The 21,531-nt window shown below is 48.4% G+C and overlaps 1 protein-coding gene across 15 annotated transcripts in view, besides 2 other annotated features; it reads left to right on the forward strand.

Moving 5' to 3' along the window:
• The window catches only part of FAM120B (family with sequence similarity 120 member B), a 116,365-nt gene that overhangs the window by 681 nt on the left and 94,153 nt on the right, over positions 1-21,531 (forward strand). For 13 of the 15 annotated variants that reach the window (XR_002956306.2, XR_007059342.1, XR_007059343.1 and 10 more), the window contains exon 1: positions 15,375-15,459. The exons of 1 other annotated variant lie outside the window; for it this stretch is intronic. Coding sequence is in view for 1 of the 14 variants with exons in the window: in NM_001286380.2 (NP_001273309.1) it covers positions 4,023-4,070 (48 nt within the window). In the remaining 13 variants the exon portion in view is untranslated. Of the gene's footprint in view, positions 1-3,937; positions 4,071-15,374; positions 15,460-21,531 lie in introns of those variants that run through there. One more of the 15 variants, NM_001286380.2, reaches the window with a different exon arrangement.
• Positions 4,284-4,911: an enhancer, noted in NCBI's record as "OCT4-H3K4me1 hESC enhancer chr6:170604755-170605382 (GRCh37/hg19 assembly coordinates)". NCBI's record gives its function as "activates a minimal SCP1, AML or CMV promoter by ChIP-STARR-seq in naive H9 embryonic stem cells {active_cell/tissue: H9 hESC(naive)}" and the evidence as "EXISTENCE:reporter gene assay evidence [ECO:0000049][PMID:30033119]".
• Positions 13,226-13,395: an enhancer, noted in NCBI's record as "experimental_91390 CRE fragment used in MPRA reporter constructs". NCBI's record gives its function as "activates a minimal promoter by MPRAs in K562 erythroleukemia cells, with activity observed for both the introgressed and non-introgressed 6:170613782 variant alleles {active_cell/tissue: K562}" and the evidence as "EXISTENCE:reporter gene assay evidence [ECO:0000049][PMID:34662402]".

Raw genomic sequence — 21,531 nt, forward strand, 5'->3', positions numbered from 1 at the left:
CCGAGGGGTCTCCTTGCGCCGACAGCGTCCCGGGGGCTTGGGGAGGGCGGCTGCGAGCAGGAGGACGAAGTTCGAGGCCCGAGCTCTTGGCGGGGCCGCCCCTTCTTCGGGGCAGGCGCTTCCTAAGGAGGAGTCTCTTGGGGGCGGAGGCGGGGGTGGCGATTCGGGGAGCATCGTAGGAAAGGGGCGGGCGGAGCGGTGGGCCGAGGGCTGCCAGAGCGAAGCGGCAGTTTCGGGAAGTTTGGGGAGGTCCGAGGCGGGGACACCTCCTGGCCCAGGACGGCGACTGAGCCTCGGGGAGTGCAGAGCCGACGCGCGGGCGGGGCCGGGACGCCCCCTGGGACACCCGCATCCCCGCGCCTTCGGTGTCCTCTCGTGGTCCGCGGCCACTGGGAGTAGGGGCCCGGGGGCCGGACAGCATATCCCCGGAGCCAGGAGAACCTGGCCTTCAACTCCCCCCACAGACACGCGCCCTCCCCCACAGGATCCTCGGCCGCCGCCACCTTCCCCGGGTCTCGGCCCCTCTCTCCCGGGTATCCCCCTCGGCCTCCCTCCGCCTGGTAAGAAGTGAGTTTGGTGTGTGTCGTTCGCGTGGCTGTCATTAAGGCAGCCTGTTATTGTGCGAGGCTGAATCAGTGGCTCTTTGTGCGCTCAGCTGTATGGTAATGCAGACAGCACCTGCTCCCCGCACAATGCGGAGAGAAAGAGCTCCCCTCCGCGCGCGCCGCGGCCTCTGCAACAATGTCCGGCGCATGTTCTAAAGCCCCTCCAGCCCCGGCCCCCAACCCACAACCTTTACACAACCGTCACCTTATTAGGTTTTTACACGTCCATCAGACACTAGAACTTTTGTTTTCATTTTTTAAAGGGAAATGAGTTTATTGGGAGGGCCGAGAACACACGTATGACACAATGAATTATCTAAATTGCCCTCCTAGGCACGATGGAGAAGTAAGTTGGGGCAGAGACTCCTACTCTGGCACCTAGCTTTGCACTTCTCCCTCTCTTTACCATCCCGCCCGTGGATCCCTGCCCACCCCCAACACCTCCGTAGCTTCATTAGGGTTCCAGGTGAGTGTTGGAGTGCCCCCTTTGATTGTAGCTCAGCCCCAAGGAAGCAGCCTGGCCACAGTGTCCTCACTGTAGGTGTGTTAGAGCTGCCTTATTGGTGAGAACAGGGCACCGTCAAGGTAGAACGAGACTTTCATCCCGGCAAATGTCTTGATCAAAGTGTCTAAGCAGAGGGAAAGTCTTCAAACACCAAGGACAACCACTGCAGCCAGAAATCTGAAGGTCACGTGGTGAAGTCGTCCAGGGCAGGCCCTCCGGCTGCTACGCAGCTGGAATTGCTACTCTGCGGCTCCTCTTCAAGTGACCCAGCCTGTGTCCTGCTACCTTGTTTCCCAAATACCTGTAAAGTTTTAGGATCAACAGAGATGTCCACTTTAGGTTTTCCACTGTTGCCTCATGGAATAGCGAAGAGTTAACCACAAGAAACAAGCATATGATGTTTAGTGCCAGGTGAGAAAGGCAGGCTGGGATCACCGTGAACCCCCTACTGTTTGGTTCAGAGCAAATGGAGGCTTCAGAAGATGCTGCCACCCCCATGATGGTGTCCTTTTTGGACTCTATAGGGACTTGCTGTCGCCACAGGGAGGGGCCAGCTCAAATCCTAATTTAATCTTGCCACCTAGTGTCAGGATCCTTTTTTCTCTAGGTTGATGTTTCCTCCAAAAGCTGACTTCGGAGCATTCTGCTTCCCTAAGGCACAGGAGCTGTTCCCTGTGCTGGGGGCTGGGGGTGGGGGTGAGGGTAGGTGAAAGGGTTTCAGGAGCAGAAGAAATGTAAAAAAAGAAGAGAATGCGAGGTCAGAATCCAGAATCCTCTGCCTGCAACACTGAGTGTAGATTTCAGTAAGAAATGAAATATCAGGAACCTTTTAATTAGAAAATGGAAGTGGAAAACAGGCTCATTTGAATGCCTGTTTAGAAAACTGGAAATAAAAAGTTCCACGCGCAAGGGCTTAAACCTTGGGGGGAAAAAGACTTGCCCCAAATCTCTAACAAACCCCCCTCAGTATCAAGTATTTGTTAAATTGACATGGCACAGATTTCTCGATTACGGCGGCAAAGCGGAACTGAAAGGCATCGTAAAATCCATCAGAATCCTGCCCAAAGCGTTCATTCTTTTCCAACTTAATTTATGCCACGCGATTCTGTATTGGGGAAATCAAGCAGAAAGCCCTTTTCTTCTTCTCCCTCTCCTTCCTCCTCCTCCTGTTCTCCTTTTTCTTTTCCTCCTCCTCCTCCTCTTTCTCCTACTCCACCTCCTTCCTCTTCTTCCTTCTCCTCCTTCTTCTCCTTCTTCCTCTCCCCCATTTCTCTCCCCCCACCCCCAAGTTGGTTCCTCTCTCCCTCTCTCTTTAAAAAGCTGTGCTAACGGGGAGACTGTTTAACTTCAGCGTTTCTATAGGAGCCTGTTGTAGTTTAACTCCTGCGCACCAGTAGCTGGGATGAACAAAGGAGAGACTCGAGGTCCAACTATTCATCCTTTCTTTGCACTTTAATTTTCATTGATTGGGAAGACAAGGGGAGCCCTTAGGGATTCGAGCTGGAGGGGACGACACGCCTTTAGACGCCATCAGCCCCCTAGCCAGCCATCTGCTCCGAACCAAATGGCGTTTTTTCACTCCCTAACTGCATGTCTCTATACTCCCACAACTAAGCACTCTGAACCCCACAAACGCAGGAGGGAGCTTAAGCCAGGGTATGTTAAATAGGCTTGCCTCAGTGTTGGCCCCGGCTGCCGGAGTCCCTCCTCCCCACACTATAAATCCTCACCTTGCTCATTAGGAAAAAACAGGAAACTTTCTTTTAAATACTTTTTTATGTCTCAGGAAATTTACTGTACAAAGTGAGGCTCATTAGGGCTTAGAAGGCACCCAATACATCAGACACAGAAGTGGAAGGAGGAATTTGCTGCCTGGTGGTGGTGTTTTTTGTTTTGTTTTGTTTTCTGGGCAGCACAACCCCACAGGCTGAGTAACCCCAGTGTCTAGGGTAAGCTCAGGCTGTATAATGATCAGAGCTGCAGCCACAGCAACCACATGTGGAGTTCTCTGTTTGCTGGAGACACTGAGTATCTCCCCACCATTTTATGAGGCCACCTGGGAATAAAAGCTTATGGCCATCATCTTATCAAATTCCAGTGCGGCCATCCTCAGCAGTGTGTGCATGACCTAATACCATGGTCACTCAATCCTATTCCAACCCCCCTTTCCAAAGAAAGGTTCTATTCTCCAGGTTCGTGTGTGGTGGTGACTGTGGTGGGGGCAGGAGGGCCTGGGCAGATTGCAATAAACAATGCCCAGAATAGGCTCAGACTCTAGGCCAGCCACAGGTTCAGTTTTCTGTGTAAACAAGTCTGGAGACTTGAGTGGGGTTTGTGTTTTCTCAGACCAACTGAATACTGTATACCCAACAGAGAGGTTCTCTTATTCGTAAGAAGAATTAGGGTCCTTGTTCAGAATAACAAGATAAAAAACTTCCAGGCAGCAAATCTGGTGTTGATCAAACATGCCAGCTTACTTGAAATAAAGAAGAAGAAGAAGGGGACGTAGACCATGCTTATTAATTAGTATTGGTATCACATCTGCACCAACCACCCTCTGCCCATTCTCCTTCCGTCAGTTTTGGAATCTGAAAGCAGTTAACGTAGCAGAGGAATGGACCTGCTGGCTGCCACACGGGAAGTTCTCAGAGGCGTCCGTGGCGAAGCCTCTGTGTCCTGGAGCTATCATGGTTACTTCCTTGCTGCTTACTTCTTAAAGCTGTCTTTGGACACGTGAACATAGACCTTACCCCCCAACACACACACTCACTGGGCCATGTCCCCTGCCCAGCCACGCCCACCCAAGTGGGTGCACAGATGTGTTCACACTCGGTTGCCGCGCGTGGACTTACAAGCCCACGAAGCCATCGTTCGTCACAGCCTGGAAAAGGGAGGGGGCATCGATCTGGTTTATGTTTGGACCTCGAGGCTCCACCAGCGCTGGCGCAGGCAGGAAGGAGGTGAGCGCCGCCCGCGTGCACACAAGGCGCGCGGCCCCCAGGCAGCCGCGCTTCCACAGCGGGCAGGAGCGCGACCCCCGGCGCGGGCAGCTCTGCGCGAAGGTGGGCGACGGTGGGGGCACAAGAACAGCAGCCGGGGGCGAAGGAATCAGCCCCGCAGCGGCTCCTAAGCCTCCCCGCTGGCCGCGGCTGCGCCGCTGGAGACCCGGCGAGTGACTTCCCCGGTGCGGCCGGGTCCCGGCGCCACACGCCCTTTTCCTTTCTCAGGATCCGCGGCCGTGCAGAGAACAGGAAGACGGGCTCCAACCCCACCTGGTTCGTGTCGGGGGGTCGTTTTGCGGTGGGGGGAGTCCGAACCGCGCCACGGGCCCGCGAGACGCCCACCTCTCGCGTGCGTGGAGCCCGGGGCCGAGGCCAGGCCCGCTGCGAGCAGCGGAGGCATGTGCTGATTTGCATGAGAACGGGCGGGTCGCGTGGCTCAGCTGGCGGCCCCGGCGCAGATGACGGCTCGGCAGCGGGCCCCCGCCCCCTCCTCTGCGCCGCGGCTCCTTCCCCTGGAACCCGCGGATCATCTGCTGGGGCTGTCCCGCGCCCCATCTCCATGACAAAGCGCGTGTTTACCTGCGGCCGGAGCACCGGCGGGCACGCCTTTGTCCCGGGATCAGATTACCGCAGCAGCTGCTGCGGGCCCGCCCCGTGCGAACCCCGGAGCTGCCCCTCCGAACTTTGTGCCGACTGAACGCGCCGGGACCCGGGGCTGGGGGGCCGGGTGTTGGGGGGTTAGAAGGAGGCCGCGTGTCCCAGGGAGGGGCTGTTTTCAGTGCGATGATTGCCGGACGCTGAGATCCGCGACGGGGAGTGAGCGCACCTGAGGGCTTCCTGGAGGTGGTGGCGGCGCCAGGCAGCATTACGAGGGGCACCAGTGCAAGGCCCAAAGCGCGAGGGCACAGGCGGCGCGGCCGTGCGGCGGGTCATCCCTGGGCCACTGCGAGGGCGGAGGGCGGCGCCAGGGCCCTCCCGGTGGACCCCAGTCGCCGTCGTGACGGCCCCACGCAGCCTCGCGCCCGGCCGCCGCCTCGTGCGGGACTCGTGCCCGCATTCCCACCTCACCGGGTGCAGCCGGCCCGGCCCCGGGCTGTGCGAGGCGACGGCGCACACCTCGGAGCCCTGGGGGCCGGGGTCGGCGGGCGGGGCCGGGGCGCGCCCTTTGTGCGCTCTTAGCGGAAACCGCGCGTTCCCAGAGGAGCGCGGCCCGCCGAGACCCCGGATCCCGACGCCAGGAGGTGCTGCAGGAGCCCGCGCGGGGTGGGGGTCTCCGGCCCAGGCCCCTCGGTACGGGCCCCCTGCGGCCGCCACCCTCCGCCTCCGCGCGGCGGCTCCTTTCCGGCTGCATCCGGGGGGTCGAGGCGTCGCACCTGGAAATCGCAGCCTGTGACTTTGTAAAAAAGTGAATGGGGAAGAAAAGGCGCTGAGAGGGGCGATGGGCGGACGGGCCGTGCCCACCACAGGGAGGTCGCGGCACCTGTCGCTCCTGGTTCCCAGGGCGGCCTGTCAATCACCCACGCTGGGCTCAGCTTGCCGGGAGCGGGGGCACGCGGGGGGCTTCAAGGCCCAGAGCTCAGAGGCTCGCAAACAATAAACTCAGAAACGTGGCGCGCACCCGCAGGGCCTGACACAGCCTCTGGAGTGGCCCCTGGGCCTGTCTGGCTGCAGGGTTGGTTGGCCGTGGGCGTGTGCGGCTCAGGGTTTCCTCCACGCCCTTTCACGAATGTCCCCACGGGACCCCGCGTCCCCCCAGGCTGCTCCAGAGGAGTCCCGGAGAGCGCGGCCGTGGAAGCTTTCGAACGCGCCGTGCTTCCCCGCCGCCCCCGCCTCCCTTTCTGTGAGCATCTGCCGGGGAGAACAGATGTGGGCACCTGCGGTGACCGGCTGCGTGCGTTCCATCCCATTCACAGGCATTCAGACGTGGCCACAATGAGCGGCCTTTGTGTGCACAGAGTCACTAAATATATTAATCTGTACTCCCCAGAGCACCGGGCTGTTTAATTTTTCACTAGCAATAACATCTGATCTAATCCTTAAATCGGCTCCCAAAGCCTTCCCTCCAGCCCACCCCGCCCCTCCCCCCGAAAAACGTGTGAAGTTATTCAACTTTCCACCTGTTGCCGGCTGCACTGGGCGTGGGTTATTGCAACCTCTAATGTTGGTTCAGGCTGGGTGGAGGTTGGGGGCCCGTGCTGGGGAGCTGTTGGCCCACATGGGCATAGGGAGGGTATGTTTATCAGACGGAAAATAAACACAAAGTGCGGAGTGTGGCTCCCCAAATGTTGTGCAAACAAAGAACAATAATTATTAAACAGCTTCCCAAGCAACCCAGCACACCCACCCCTTCTGTGTAAGGCCTTTAAAAATGTACATAAAGTTCCCATTTATCTTTTTGTTTATTAAACTCTAGCGGTTGTTATAAATACCGGTCAATAGGCCACACAGCCAAAAGGTAACATAAATCTCAGATGTAAGACTTAGATTTTTTAAGCAATTTTGTTGCATGACTCTTTTATCTTAGCATCCCTTATTTTATTTTGATTTGTTTTCGGCCACAATGAGTCCTTTAGTGCCATTGTGGACTCACAATGCACATGGACATCAGGCTGTGAATGAAGACAGAGGCAGTTTAAACAAACCAAGCTCTTTCTTTCCTTTCCTTCCATTGTAATATGAATGGGCCTTCTGCATTTGGCTGCTAGGAGACCGGCTTTGCAAAGCCCTGCTCCAATAAATGGGCTGGAGAGAAAGGGACCCCAATAAACAGCCCAAGTATCCAAGTATCAGAGGGGAAAAAAAAGAAGGAACAAAATTTAGGCAAGTATTTTCTCACTTTCAAATCAACATATTTCCTAATCTCAGAATGTTAGTTTCTATTGTTGCATTCCTTGCTTTCAACAGTTTCCTTCATTCTTGTCATTGTAATTCCTATTCCCTCTCTCCACCACTTCCAATGAGGAAACAGAACAGGGATAGTTCTGGATCACCATCAAGATTTGTTTTCAAGATGCAATATTTTCTTTTTTTTTTTTTTTTGTTCCTTTTAGTAAAATGGGAACTGGAGTGGCATATTTGTCGGTCATCATCACTAATAACTCATGATCATACAATGCCTTCAAAATTTATTCATTGGGGGATCAGTAGTAGCCTAGTTGGTGAGTCTGAATTTTTTTTAGGAACCATCACAAACTATGATTTGCTTTTCTACTATTGAGACTGTTCTTATTCCTGTTAATAAGCTGATTGAGGCAAGATGTGAGGCTGCTTGCAGGTTGCGAAGGTCCCAGGCACTGATTGTGTTAGAAAGTACCACCACCTGCCAGCTGTCACTCATTTCTCAGTGGCTAGAGCTCAGGCATCTGGGCACCAAGGAGCCAACCACTCTCCAGGCAGAGGGGAACCCACACTGACTTAGAGCTGGTGGGCTAGGGCAAGACATGCAGGAAGTAGAAGGCCACTTCATTTCCTCACTGGCTTGTTCACTCCTGACTCATCACAGGGGCTGAGGACCCAAAGTGGAACTGGACCTGTCTCTGCCACCAGGTGAATTATAAAATGAGTTGGGGAAGACTTTCTTGCTTTTCCATTTTCTGAAAGTTTGTGTAGGATTGCTATTTCCTCCTTAAAAGTTTGATAGAATTCACTAGTGAGGCTATTAGCACCTGGCCTTTTCTTTGTGGGAAGGTTTTTTTTATTGTTGTTGTTTTGTTTTGTTTACTTAATTCAACTTCTTCAATTAATATAGGCTTACTCATCATTTCTACTTCTTCTTTGTTCAGGTTTGGTGATTTGCATGGTTCAAGGAATTTCTTATCTAAAGTTGTTCAAATGTTCTTTTATTCCTTAACTGCAGGTGGTTTCTGTAGTGACACTGTCTTCCATTGCTGGGATGCGCAATGTGTGTCTTCTCTCTTCTTGAGAGATTATGATCAGAGTATTATAGGCTTATCAGTTGTATCAGTCTTATCAAAGAACCAGTCTTTTGTGTCATTGATTTTTCCCTGCTCTAGGCAGAGATGGGGCAGCCACTAGGCTCACCTCATTTGTTTTCCTCCTTTCAAGATTCTCCATCCTTTACTTCCTGTTGTCTGTTGTCTGAAAATAGTAATTTTGTATTTTTGTCCAGTTTTTTAGTTATTTAAAGTGGGAGGACCAGTTCTGTAGGAATTATTCCTTCTTGGATGGAAGCTAGAACAGGACACTTTTGGTTGTAACAGAACATCCTGATTCACTATCTGACTATGTATAAAGAAGATTCTCTCTCTTATAATCAGGAAAGAAGGTGGTTTGAGTGCTGGTTGATGTAGTGGCTCTGCCACGTCAAGGCCCAAGTGCTCTCCTTCTTTCTGCTCTGACATCCATGCCCTGTCAGTCACTCCATTTCCTGACTGCATGATGTCTGCAGCAGTACCAGACATCTTCACCATTACAATGATCATAAGAAGAGGAACATTGTCTTTCTACATGATACCTTTTATCAGCAATAAAACACTTCAGCAGCATTTAATGTGCATTCTCTATGTAGAAATCAGTATGTTTTCATGGTTTTGGCTTTTTGTCTTTCCTAATTTTTGGACGGTCAATTGTTACCTGTATTAGTCTGTTCTCATGCTGCTAATAAAGACATACTTGAGACTGGGTAATTTATAAAGGGAAGAGGTTTAATTGACTCACAGGTCAGCATGGCTGGGGAGGCCTCAGGAAACCTTACAATCATGGCAGAAGGGGAAGCAAACACATCCTTCTTCACATGGCAGCAGCAAAGAGAAGTGCAGAGCAAAGGACGGGAAAAGCCCCTTATAAAACCATCAGGTCTCATGAGAACTCACTCACTATCACCAAAACAGCATGAGGGTATCTGCCCCCATGATTCAATTAACCTCCCAGAAACTTCCTCCCACGACATGTGGGGATTATGGGAACTACAGTTCAAGATGAGATTTGGATGGGGATACAGCAAAACCATATAATTCCACTCCTGGTCCCTCCCAAATCTCATGTCCTCACATTTCAAAACACAATCATACCTGCCCAACGGTCCCCCAAAGTCTTAACTCATTCCAGCATTAGCTCAAAAGTCCAAGTCCAAAGTGTCTGAAACAAGACAAGTCTCTTCCACCTATAAGCCTGCAAAATCACAAGCAAGTTAGTTACTTCCTAGATACAACTGGGGCACAGGCATTGGGCAAATACACCCGTTCCAAATAGGAGACACTGGCCAAAACAAAGGGACCACAGGCCCCATGCAAGTCCAAAATCCAATAGGGCAGTCATTAAACCTTAAAGTTCTAAAATGATCCCCTTTGACTCCATGTTTCACATCCATGTCACACTGATGCGAGAGGTGGGCTCCCACAGCCTTGGGTAGCTCTACCTCTGTGGCATTGCAGGGTAAACCCCCCCCTCCTGGCTGCCTTCATGGGCTGGCATAGAGCGTCTGCAGCTTTTCCAGGTGCACTTTGCAAGCTGTTGGTGGATCTACCATTCTAGGGTCTGGACAATGGTGGCCCTTTTCTCACAGCTCCATTAGGTGGTGTGCCAGTGGGGATTCTGTGTGGGGGATATGACCCCACATTTCCTTTCTGCACTGCCCTAGCAGAGCTTCTCCATGAGGGCTTTGCCCCTGCAGCAGACCTCTGCCTGGACATCCAGGCATTTCCATACATCCTCTGAAATCTAGGTGGAGGTTCCCAAACCTCTGTTCTTGTCTTTGGCGCACCAGCAGGACCAATACCACATGGAATCTGCCAAGGCTTGGCACTTGCACCCTCTGAAGCCACAGCCTGATCTGTACATTGGCACATTTTAGCCATGTCTAGAGCAGCTGGGATGCAGGGCACCAAGTCCCTAGGCTGCACACAGAAAGGGGGGGCCTGGGCCTTGCCCAAGAAACCATTTTTCCCTCCTAGGCCTCTAGGCCTGTAATGGGAGGGGCTGCCATGAAGGTCTCTAACATACCCTGGAGACATTTTCCCCACTGTTTTAGTGATTAACATTCTTCTTCTCATTGCTTATGCAAATTTGTTGCCAACTTGAATTTCTCCCCCAGAAAATGGGTTTTTTTAATCTATTGCATTGCCAGCCTGCAAATTTTTCAAACTTTTATGCTCTGCTTCCTCTTGAATGCTTTGCTGTCTAGAAATTTCTTCCACCAGATACCCTAAATCATCTCTCTCAAGTGCAAAGTTCCACAGATCTCTAAGGCAAGGGCAAAATGTTGCCATTCTCTTTGCTAAAGCATAGCAAGAGTGACCTTTACTCCAGTTCCCAACAACTTCCTCATCTCCATCTAAGACCATCTCAGCCTGGACTTCATTGTCCATATCACTAACAGCATTTTGGTCAAAGCCATTCAACAAGTCTCTAAGAAGCTCTAAACTTTCCCACCTGTTCCTATCTTCTGAGCCCTCCAAGTCTCTAGGAGGTTTCAAACTTTCCCACATTTTCCTATCTTCTACTGAGCCCTCCCAACTGTTCCAACCTCTGCCTGTTACCCCATTCCAAAGTCACTTCCACATTTTTGGGTATCTTTACAACAGCACCTCACTACCTGGTACCAATTTGCTGTATTAGTCCATTCTCACACTGCTAATAAAGACATACCTGAGACTGGGTGATTTATAAAGGAAAGAGGTTTAATTGACTCACAGTTCAGCATGGTTAGGGAGGCCTCAGGAAACTTACAATCGTGTTGGAAGGGGAAGCAAACAAGTCCTTCTTCACCTGGCAGCAGCAAGGAGAAATGTGGAGTGACGCAGGGGAAAAGCCCCTTATAAAACCATCAGGTCTCATGAGAACTCAATCACTATCAAGAGAACAGCATGGAGGTAACCGCCCCCATGATTCAATTACCTCCCACCAGGTCCTTCCCATGACATGTGGAGATTATAGGAACTACAGTTCAAGATGAGATTTGGGTGGGGACACAGCCAAACCATATCATTGCCCAAATAAAATCTTGAGCTCATGTGGTTGTTATACTCAAAAGAAATTTCATTCAGCATCCAAATAAAAACTGCAAATACATCTTGCAGTCTATTTAAAGGGTCAACTTGTTACCAAGAGAAACCTGTCCCAGATGCCCCTGCCATTCATTTTCTGGGTTTCTCTCTCACAGCTGATGTGATGTCTCTCACTTTAGCTTTTTCCTCTGCATTAACCCCCAAATTCGCTCTACAGTTTCTTTTTTATTCCCCTTTCTTTTCCTATGTTTCTCTTTTATGTAAACCTCCATCCTATTTATAGATTTTTTCCCACACTGATAAACTGGCTGTGCACAGCAGAGCACAGGGAAGTGCTTGCCTGAGCTATGAAGCAGGAGGTGAAGCAGGATGTGGATAATCCTACGTAACTCTTCTTGCTCTTGTTACACTGATTTCTGCATGCAACTTTTCTTGTAGTCTCCCAGGAAAGAGACCTTGAAGTAATATTTGACTTTTCCTTCCCTTTGCTGTAGTGTACTGTAGTCATAACAATTTTTTAAAGCTTCAAGATTTAGACAGATTGGAATTTGAGTGACAGTCGTGCCACTTACTACCACTTGTATTAGTGAATAACTTTTTAAAACTTAAAAATTTTTCCTTATATCAAATATTTATAATCTTAAAATTCAAATGGTATTTCTAGATTTGTTAACAAAAATAGTAGTTGCCCACACCACACACTCCCACTCCCAATTCCTTCTCTTACATTTATCTCTTATATATTTCTTTTGTATATGAGAGAATTTACTCTACTTTCTTTTCCTTTTTTTGTGTGTGAGACAGCGTCCTACTCTGTCACCCAGGCTGGAGTGTGGTGGCACAATCCCAGCTCACTGCAGACTGAAACTCTGGGGCTCATATGATCCTCCCACCTCAGCCTCCTAAGTAGCTGGGACTACAGGTGCATGCCACCATGCCTGGCCAATTTTTAAAAATGTTTTGTAGAGATGAGGTCTCACTATGTTGCCCAGGCTGGTCTCCAACTCCTGGGCTCACAGAGTCCTCTTACCTTGGCCCCCCAAAGTGCTGGCATTACAGGCATGAGCCAATGTGCCCGGCCTTATGCTCATATTTTCTAAGAACACATATTTAATGTTCTGTCCTTACTTTTCAATTGTGCGTATAGTCTATGGACTTCCTAACTCTAGAAGACAAGGATTTAACTCTCCCACCCTCACTTCCTAGACACATGCACATTTATGTAAACACACGTAAGGTCACCTCCCTTTTTTCAAAAATAATTATAACACCCCTTTGGGTTAAACTCCCATTCAGCAATTATCTTGTTATAATTACATATTTATTCACAGCCAAGACATATGCTATATCCTTTTTTGCATATTGTTTTCACTAGATTCAATAATGGCCTCATTTATTTCCTTATTCACTTTCCTATCTAGCTATTACTTATCATCATCAAATTCTGAAGATCCCTTTTAAGATATTCATCCATAACAGGCATTCCATGTGATTCACTTCCTTCTGGAAACATCTCTCCTAGAGGCCTCTATCCCCTACTGTATAAGTCCTAGCTTCTGTCCTAGTACTTCCCTTCTCCTCTCTCCTAAGCTGGGACTTCCTGTTTTTTAGGTCCCAAATATTATCCTCTTTCTTGGCTAATTTCTTAATTTTGGAGAAGAATATCCTCCAGTAGCTTTCTGAGATAAGGATATCTGAAAATATCTACATCCTACCCACAAACAGCTAATATAGTGAGAGTTGAATTCTATGTTAGAATTATTTTCTTCAGAATTTTGAAGTTAATGCCCTATTGTATTCCAGCTTCCTGGGATTCTGTGGAGAATTTCCATGCCATTCTGATTTCCAGTCCTTTAAATGTGACCTTTTCATTTTTCCTTCAGGAAACTCTGAAGATCTTTTCTTTATCCTTGGTGTTCTGAATGCTGTGGCGATGTGCCTTGGTGTTGGTCTTCCTAGGTTTGTTGTGCTGGGCACCTGCTGGGCCCTTTCGATACGAGAATGTATCTTCTAGACCTGGGAAGATTTTCCTTCTCTTTTATCTTTCTCTTTCATTCCTATTTTTCACATGTCACATTTGTGTTTTCTCTTTTTCTTTTTTGTTCCATCATCTGAGCGATACCATCGAATCCATCTGGGAGGCCAATGAGCAGTCACCTGGTGGGGCTCCTTGCTCTGCCTGCCTTCAAGGCCTCCCCAGTCCAGCTCTGCTTCCTGCTCCCCTCAGCATGAACCTCCTGCGCATGAGAGTTTGGTCTCCTGAATTTTTCCCTCAGTCTCTTTCCTAGGTTTGCTCCTTCTGCTTGGAGTCCTTCCTCTTCTAACCCTTTGTCAGATCCTACTCCTCCTTCCAGGCTCAGTTCACAAACTTGCTCCTTGAAGCTTTTTCATCCCTGTCTTAGACTGTTCAGACTGCTACAGCAAAGTACCATAGACTGGGTTTAGAAATTCATTTCTCATAGCTCTGGAGGCGCTGAGGTCTCAGATCAGGCACCAGCATGGTTAGGTTCTGGTGAGGCCTCTCTTCTGGGTTGCAGGCCATCTTCTCACTGTATCCTCACACGGTGGAAAGTGGGCAAGAGAGCTCTCTGGCCTCGTTATGGCACTATTCCCATTCATGAGGCTCCACCCTCATGATTTATTCACTTCCCAAAGGCCCCACCTCCAAAGACCATCACGCTGGGATTAATTTCAACCTATGAACTTGGGGGGGGCGGGGGACAGAAACATTACAACCCTTACTCCTTACAATATGTTTCACTTGTTGCCTAGTATTTAAAGTATGTTAGTTTATGTCCCCAACCACGATGAGCACTCCTTAAGACTAGAGGTCATTTCACATACTGCTTGGTGTCACCCCACAGCACTAATCAGCAATAGGTGCTGAACACCATTTGTTGATTTTACTTAAAGAAAAGCCCATCAGGAAACGTAAGCCTTGTATGCTGAATCGAGATTCCTTCCCAAATCCTTTAATGCATACGTGGTGCCACTTCAATTTGGTAATGTTTTCTGAGTACCTGATCAAGTGCTTTGCTAGAGATTCTGAAGAAAATCAATAGAATGTTTTTCCTAGAACAATATTTGACCATTTTACTTTCCTGATGGAAGACTCATTAGCTCACCAGGGCTTATAGCTGCCTTGCTGAGACATACTGTGTGTAAGGATAGGTTTGGAGATACATCCTAAATAAGTTGATATTAAAAATTGACATTTGTCAATAACTTACTTTTCAGAAAAATAAATCAGATTGGTTTCAAGGTCGTCACTCACACGTGCCTGCCAAAATGTTTGCTTGGTTGTAGAGAAAAAGGCGGAACTGCAGCTAGAGGGGTGGACTTGCGCATCACCCGGAGCCCACCTGATCTCCTAGCCCAAGGGAGCATGTCCTGAAGGTGAGTTTCGCCATCTTAGAGCAGCTGCAGAAATAAGACTGAGATTGTGGACTGCAGAGTCCAAACTCCTGAATATGACGACAGGGACCTGCACGATCAGGTGGCACCTGTTCCCCTGTCCCCGCCACCATGTATCCACAGCAGCCACTGGAATTCCTCTGAAGCATCCTGCTCCCTCACTGCCATTGCCTCTGCCTTTCCTCTCTCTCCTTGGAATTCTCTCCCACCCAATTCCGGACTAGCAAACCTGCCTGAAACAACTTTCAGCTGAAGAGTAGTCCAGAGCAACAATGGTGACGGTCAGAACACCCGGCCGAGAAGTGCTCAGCGCTGACTGGGGCCGCGCCGTCCCGATACGGAGGCGAGGGTCGAACGCCAGGACGTCCCCGCTCCCTCCCCAAACGTGGCGGGGAAGCGCGCGGCGGGTCCCCTGTGCAGGAGCCCCCCGCTGTCCCCGTTTCCGGCCCAGGCGAGGCTCCCGGCCTCAGGGCCACCCGCCTGGGCCGCGCTCGCACAACTTCGGCCTGAGGCCCCGGGAGCCGCCAGTCCTCAGTGCCTCCGGCAGGACAAAGACCGGCATGCAGCGTCAAGACACCGTCCGGGCCGCAGGACAGTGTATGAACAAAGAGGTTCAAGGGCGGCACCCGCCCGACGCCAGCGGGCAGCTACCTGACTGCGCGACCCGAGGTCCGCCAGCACCAGAGCAGTTGCTGTGGCAACAGGCCGCGGCGTCCCACGCCGCCGGCGCCTGCGCGCCGCGTCCGCTGTCCGCGCCTGCGCGCCTCTCTCCCCGCCCAACCCACGACGCGGGCGCTCCTCACTCTCGCAACGGTCACGCAGACCCCGCCTCTGCGAACCCGGCCAAGTCCCGAGCGGAAGCGCCTTGAGCGGAAGCGGAAGTGAACGAGGCGGCTGTGGCGGTGGCTGAGGCGGCTGGGCCTAGGGTGCAGCGGGCGCGTCTGCGGCTGGTGTTGGCGCATCTCTAGGTAGGGCCGGGCCCGAGGGCACCCGCGGGTCTTCCGGGCCGCTCCCGGCCTGCGTGACCGTCCGTTACCCGCGTCCGACCCTCGCGCGCGTCAGCCCCTCGGCTTCTGCCCGGTCCCGATGCCTTCCTGGCCGTGCCTCTGTCCTTGTCACCGCGGCTGCGACATCATGGGATCCTCGCGTCCCCGCTGCCGAGCCCGTCGTCATCCCTGTCCCTGCGCAGAACCCTCCTGCCGAGCCCTGGTCCGCGTCATTGCGTGCTCCCCGACCTCGCGACCGTCGCCTTGCCTGCCCCATCTTGAGGTCACCTCTGACCCCTACTCCCTCCCTTAAGATGTGTGTTTGGCTCCTATATGTCATTTTTGGGTCAGAGCTGTTATCCTTCGTAGCTGCACGACTTTTCTGGTCGTCTCTAGAAGAGAGAGGCATCCTCTGATCTCTTCACTTTTCTCCCATCATCTGTGGGCTATCCCTGAATCAGGGCCCCAGCTCTTGGGGGAAAGACAGACAGAAAGACAGGGTTCCCTGCCAGCAAGGAGTTTGCAGACCCGTGGGATAACACTGAGCGTCAAGCAGATCCCACAATGTAGAAAGAAAAGGGTCCCTCGAGGGTGATTTGCCCAGGAGGGTCCAGGAAATTTCCATAAAGGTTGGATTTGAGCAGAGTTTTAAGTAGGAGTTGGGAGATGAACGAGAGTTGAGAGCCTATTCCTGGCAGTAAGAACATAAATGTTTAAGACATGAAGGTTTCAGAGTCTTGACATATTTGGGGAACTAGGAGTTGAGCATTTGTGAGACAAGAAATGTTGGTTAGGGATGGGGAATGGCAGGAAGGAAGCTAAAGAGAATGTGGGGCAAGGAAGTGATGTGATCAGATCTTAGCGTTAAAGAGATTCAGTCTGGCAGATATAGGGGTGGGGATGAGGGTGACTGCAGACAGACAAAAAGGCTTTTGTCGTCGTTCAGGGACTGGAAACCCCGAAATGGTAGTGGAGAGAACCTGGAGGTAAAGAAGTGAGAGGGTAGTCTTTCTGATGGCTTGAGCCCTTGAATAGAGAAGTGCCGAGAGGGAAAAGCCCAGAATGGGGACCATATCTGGAGCAGCAGGGTCCTAACCACCATCTCCTGAGTATGTGAGAGCATCTTATCCGCAGCTGTACTCCCAAGTTCCTCCGTGTCTAGTGTCATGCTTTTGTTTTTGACCTTTCTCTGGCCTCCCCTTCACATAGGCTCTTTGACCTGCCCATCTTTGGACTTTGCTGTTAGGAGCCACCCTCTGCCACCACTACAGCCTTCACACTCTGTGTTCTGATACCTTCTTCATCCCATTTCTGCCATCTCCCAGCTCCATCATTAGTGAGTGTTTCCCCTGACTTTGCCATTCCTTTTGTTTTGGAACTCTAATTGAGCCTTCTTACCAGTTGTATTCTTGAAAAGCACCAACACCATAGCTGGGTCGGGGTCTTCACTGCTCATCTTCATACACACGCACACCCCCACACACACCCCATTTTGTGACTACCTTGACCTTCCAGTTTTTTTGTTTGGTTTCTAACCACCTAATCTTCCAGACATACTGAAATCTCTGATCACCTGTGGCCCACTGAGAAAACTACAGTAGGTGACATCTGGGGTAACGTAGTTTTTAGCATTCTGAGATTTTACCCCATCCTGGAACCTGAATCTGGATACCATTTATGGGGCAGATTTACTGTAAAGCTAATGAAGTTCAGGTTTCTAGGTCTGTCACTTGCATGGGCCCTTACCTAGGCTCTGGGACCTCAGAGATCTTGTGTTTATAATTTGTATTCTTTTTTGAAAAGAGGGTTTCCAAATGGTATGTTTCAAGTCTTTCACAGCTTAGATCCCTGCAAAACTGGCTATTTGTCATATCCAGCCTTGAGATTTGCATTTTTGTCCTTCAGACACCTTCCCTTCCCTACCTCCTACTTCTTCCTCTTCTGGTGTGTGCTTTTTATTTAGGCCTGGAGAAACAAAATGTGAATGAATGGAACTGATCAAGTTCCTGCCATAACCTGACTTTATTTAGCTCTAGTGTCAGGAGGGAGATGTCAGAGCTTAGTAACTCAGCATGTTGGACAGGATCTTTGTAACTTCTTTGTTGCAAGCTTAAATGCCTGTATTGTTAGATTTATTTCACTGCTGAGTTGCCACTCCCTTTAAGAAAAGGTTGATGTTAAGAAGGATAGTCCGCTTAATGGAAATCATAAAAGCAACTCTTAACTCCATGGAAACTAGGGTTATACACTGTGTAAATTCACACAGGAATTTATTGTGACTTTTGATTTATTACTTTGAAAATGCCACCAGTTATTTTTATAGAACTTGATAATGAGTATAAATAATTGTAATTTGTGTTCTGTTGGAAAATCTTCAGATTTAAAACATGTTTAAAGTTTAAATTATTTATGCAAAGATAGGTATTTCTAAGGAATTTTTTAGTAGTAGTTTTAAATTTCCCTAATATGAGAAGTAAATAATTATCTTATTTTTGCAAATAAGGACATCAGTGATGTACAAAGAGGTTAAATGATTTGTCTTCAGCTGTACAGTAAATCAGGGCCTCCCTTAGCCAAAAAAGCCAGCTCCTGAGTACTGTTTTGCTTATAAACAAATATTAATAAAGAGGAATCTATTTTATCAGTTCTTATTATAGAACATTTAATATAAGATGGACCAAATTATATCTTTTGGTGTTTCCATATATTAATACCTATCTGTGCACATCCGTATATATCTACACACTAGGTTCTATAAAAGTGGGCAGTGTTAATACTGTTCCTATTAGGACTTTAGTCCAAAGAATTAATTTAATTTGGATTTGTGCAAATTATTATAAAGTCATTTACAGTAAAACCATGGCTAACTATGATAAGAGCATATTAACTTTCTGAATAGCAGAGGAGTTTTCTGGCTAGATTAGGTTTTTGCCCATTAAGCACCAAAATATCCCATTTAGGTTGGGAATCTTCCTAAAGTATATTATTTCTTGTGTTCTTAAATAGAATGTGCTGAATGTGATGTAAACTTTCCTCAATGCTCTCAAGTGACCATTTAGATATAATGTTATGTTGTGATGTGAATAGTAATGTTAGGCTTATTGAGGCATATACAGCTATTTCCTTTGGGGGTTTTTGCATCTTTCCAGTTTTTAAAGTTTTCTGTCCTATTGTTTCCTTGGGTCAGCTGTTAGCACTTCTAACTGCTGTCAGTTTTCCTGCCCAAAGTTTCTATATTTTTCTCTACTATGGGTTTAGGAGCTAATTGTTAGAACTGATTAGAAAGGTAGTCCGTAGATGATAATAAAAGCCTAAATAAGTGTCTTGTGAGTAAGTTGTTTATGCTGCATCAGCCTCTAAGGGGTTTTGTAGAGCACAGTGTGGGTAGGAAAGGCCAAGGGCACCAGAGTTCTGGGTTGCTGGGAAAAGCCAGAGAGTCTCTTTTATTCCTGATCCTCCTCTCAGAGCCCACCGATAGGCTGGTGACTGGGAATAATGTAGGAAGGAGAGATCTTGGGTAAGGAAACATCCCACAGGGTGGCTCTGTGGTGAGGCCCTTGCCCCACTGGCAGCACACAGCAATGACCAGATCACTAATCTACAGCAGTGCTAAGTGAGGGTTGTGGCCTAGTGAAAGGCAGCTGGGATCTGGAGTCAGATGGATTCAAATCCTGCCCTCCTTGTTAATTACTGCTTGTGGCTTCAGGCAGGTGATTTCACCTGACACAAAGTTTGCTGCCTCCCCAAAGTGACTCCTGCCTTCTTCTTTGCTGCTAGAATGTGTCTTTGACTTAAGAGGCTGCACAAAACTGATAATGTGCTCTAATCTGGGCCAGTGGGACTAGAGGGGCTGCCATGGGACTTTTGGAGTAGACTGCACACACTTAGACAATTGAGTACATTTTGATATATGTGTTACAGCCCCCAACCAAAGCTCTCTGCTTCTCAGAGGACTCCGAGTCTTTGTTTGCCTCCTTCCTCAGGGTTCATGGTCTTAGCTGGGGATCTTGTCTTATTCATTGCTGTATCCACAGCTCCTAACATAGGCCTTGGAGCACAGTAAATCCTGAATGAGTATTTATGAGTGAATGTGGGAATTTGGTTGAGTTTAGATCTCATGTTCTTAGTGTATTTCTGGGGGGATAGAAGAGGGTCTCTCTGCCCTTCTTTTTCTTCTGTGATAGGAAGTGGCCCTGCATCCCTCTAGCCTTGGGATTCTCCCAGAATAGGGAGGGAGAGTGGATGCTGAACAGCCATAGCACCTGGTTCACGATGGACCATCTGACTCCAGTCTTGTCTGCCTCCACCCATCCCCAGAACATACGCAGAGCAGTGTTTCTGAAATGCACTTGCTTGAGTCCTTAGTGACATCTTGTTTCCCTTTGGGTGAAGCGTAGACATTTTAGCATGGTTTGCCAGGCCTTTCATTCATCTGGCCCCAACTCCTCCAGCAGTATCTCATCTCTTCATCTTCCCTTAAAATAGGTTCTAGACATACTGAAGGTGAGTTTTTTTTCCCCATTTCTACACTTGATGAACAAATTTATAAATACAATTGCAAGTTAGATTAAACTACTTAATAGAGCAGATGTTTTGAGCACCTAATAATTTGAAAAAAGATACCTTGCAGACCTTTAAAAGATTTCCTCCGTGTTGCTCATGCCTTCCTCTGGCCACACCTGCCTGTCTTCAGGCCTTGCCTTGAGTACCCTCTCCTCAGGGTTTGTCTTAGAGCCCTAAACTAGGTTGGCTTTCCCTGCTGAAAATTCCCCAGCACTCTTACCTTCTCTGTCCTACACTCGTGTCCAAGAGACTGTTGTCTGCTGGAGGGCAGGGATCTCATCTGTCTTGTTCATAGCTCAGTGACTACTCCAATGTCTAACATAAAGGTGCTTGCTGAATGAGTAAGCCAAATTTATTTTCAAATAAAATTACCTGGTATTGTTGAAGAGAGCTGAATATTCATGAGTTACAAGTGGGTCTGTTCTTGATGCAATGCTTTTGGAGAAAAACTACCAATATGTGCCTATGCCGTGACTCAGCAGCTTCCTAACATACTAAGGAAATGATCAGAGGTCTAAGACTTATATACAAGGATGCGTTTCATATTCTTAGTTATGGCGTGCAATATCAGAAATAATCCAGGTGTTCTCCAGCAGAGTTAAAGAACTTACGTCCACGTTGTACATCTGTTATACATGACACTGTAGGAGAACAGTGACATCATGAGTTGGGAATATATTTATAACAAATTAGACACAAACAGATTATAAAAGTATAATCTCAATTTTTAGAAGCAGTGAATAGTAGAAAAAGGCTGAAATATGTAAAATGTTTAAAAATTTTTTCTTGTGTTTTCTCTGAATTTTCTGCAAATGGTTCGTTTTTTGATCAGATTTTTTTACAAATTAATATATTTCCCAATATTAAAAAGTAATCTAGCTTATAAAAATTATAAATACAATAAAACCTCCCTAAAATTTATGTCTTTGTTTTAAAATTTGTGATAATTTAAGAATTTTGACATATTGGGCTGATTTTACTAAACTTTAGGCAATTGATAAACATGTTTGATGAACAAATTTATAATACAATTATAAATAAAATTGTACCACAATTTCACTGTTACTAAGTGGCAGTTAGAATCTGGACTGTTGCATTTTATTCTGGAACTTTTCGTTTTATCAACAAAACTCTACCCATTATTCTCCCACTTCCCCTGTGACATCAGCTGGCACCAGTGGTTGTGGCCCGACTGTTCTGAGGTATCCTCCAGGGCACCCTGAGTCTAGACATCTATTCCTAGAAATTCTAAAGTGCATAATAGCTATAGGCTTTCTTTGAGGTGCCGATGTTAAAATTCTAACATTTGTTCAAACAGTAGGAAGATTTTACTCAAGACTATTGCAGTGAAGGAGAGAGATCTGGCTTAGCTCTGAATACAGTGAAGACAGCTGGGGATTTACAACCAAGGAGCAGAGTGAAGGGGTGAGGGGATGGGAAATTTCTAAGGGAAGACATCAGGGATAGGGAAATTCTTGCTGAAAGCAGGCC

Source organism: Homo sapiens, chromosome 6, assembly GCF_000001405.40.
Source record: "Homo sapiens chromosome 6, GRCh38.p14 Primary Assembly".
Taxonomy (NCBI): Eukaryota; Metazoa; Chordata; class Mammalia; order Primates; family Hominidae; genus Homo; species Homo sapiens.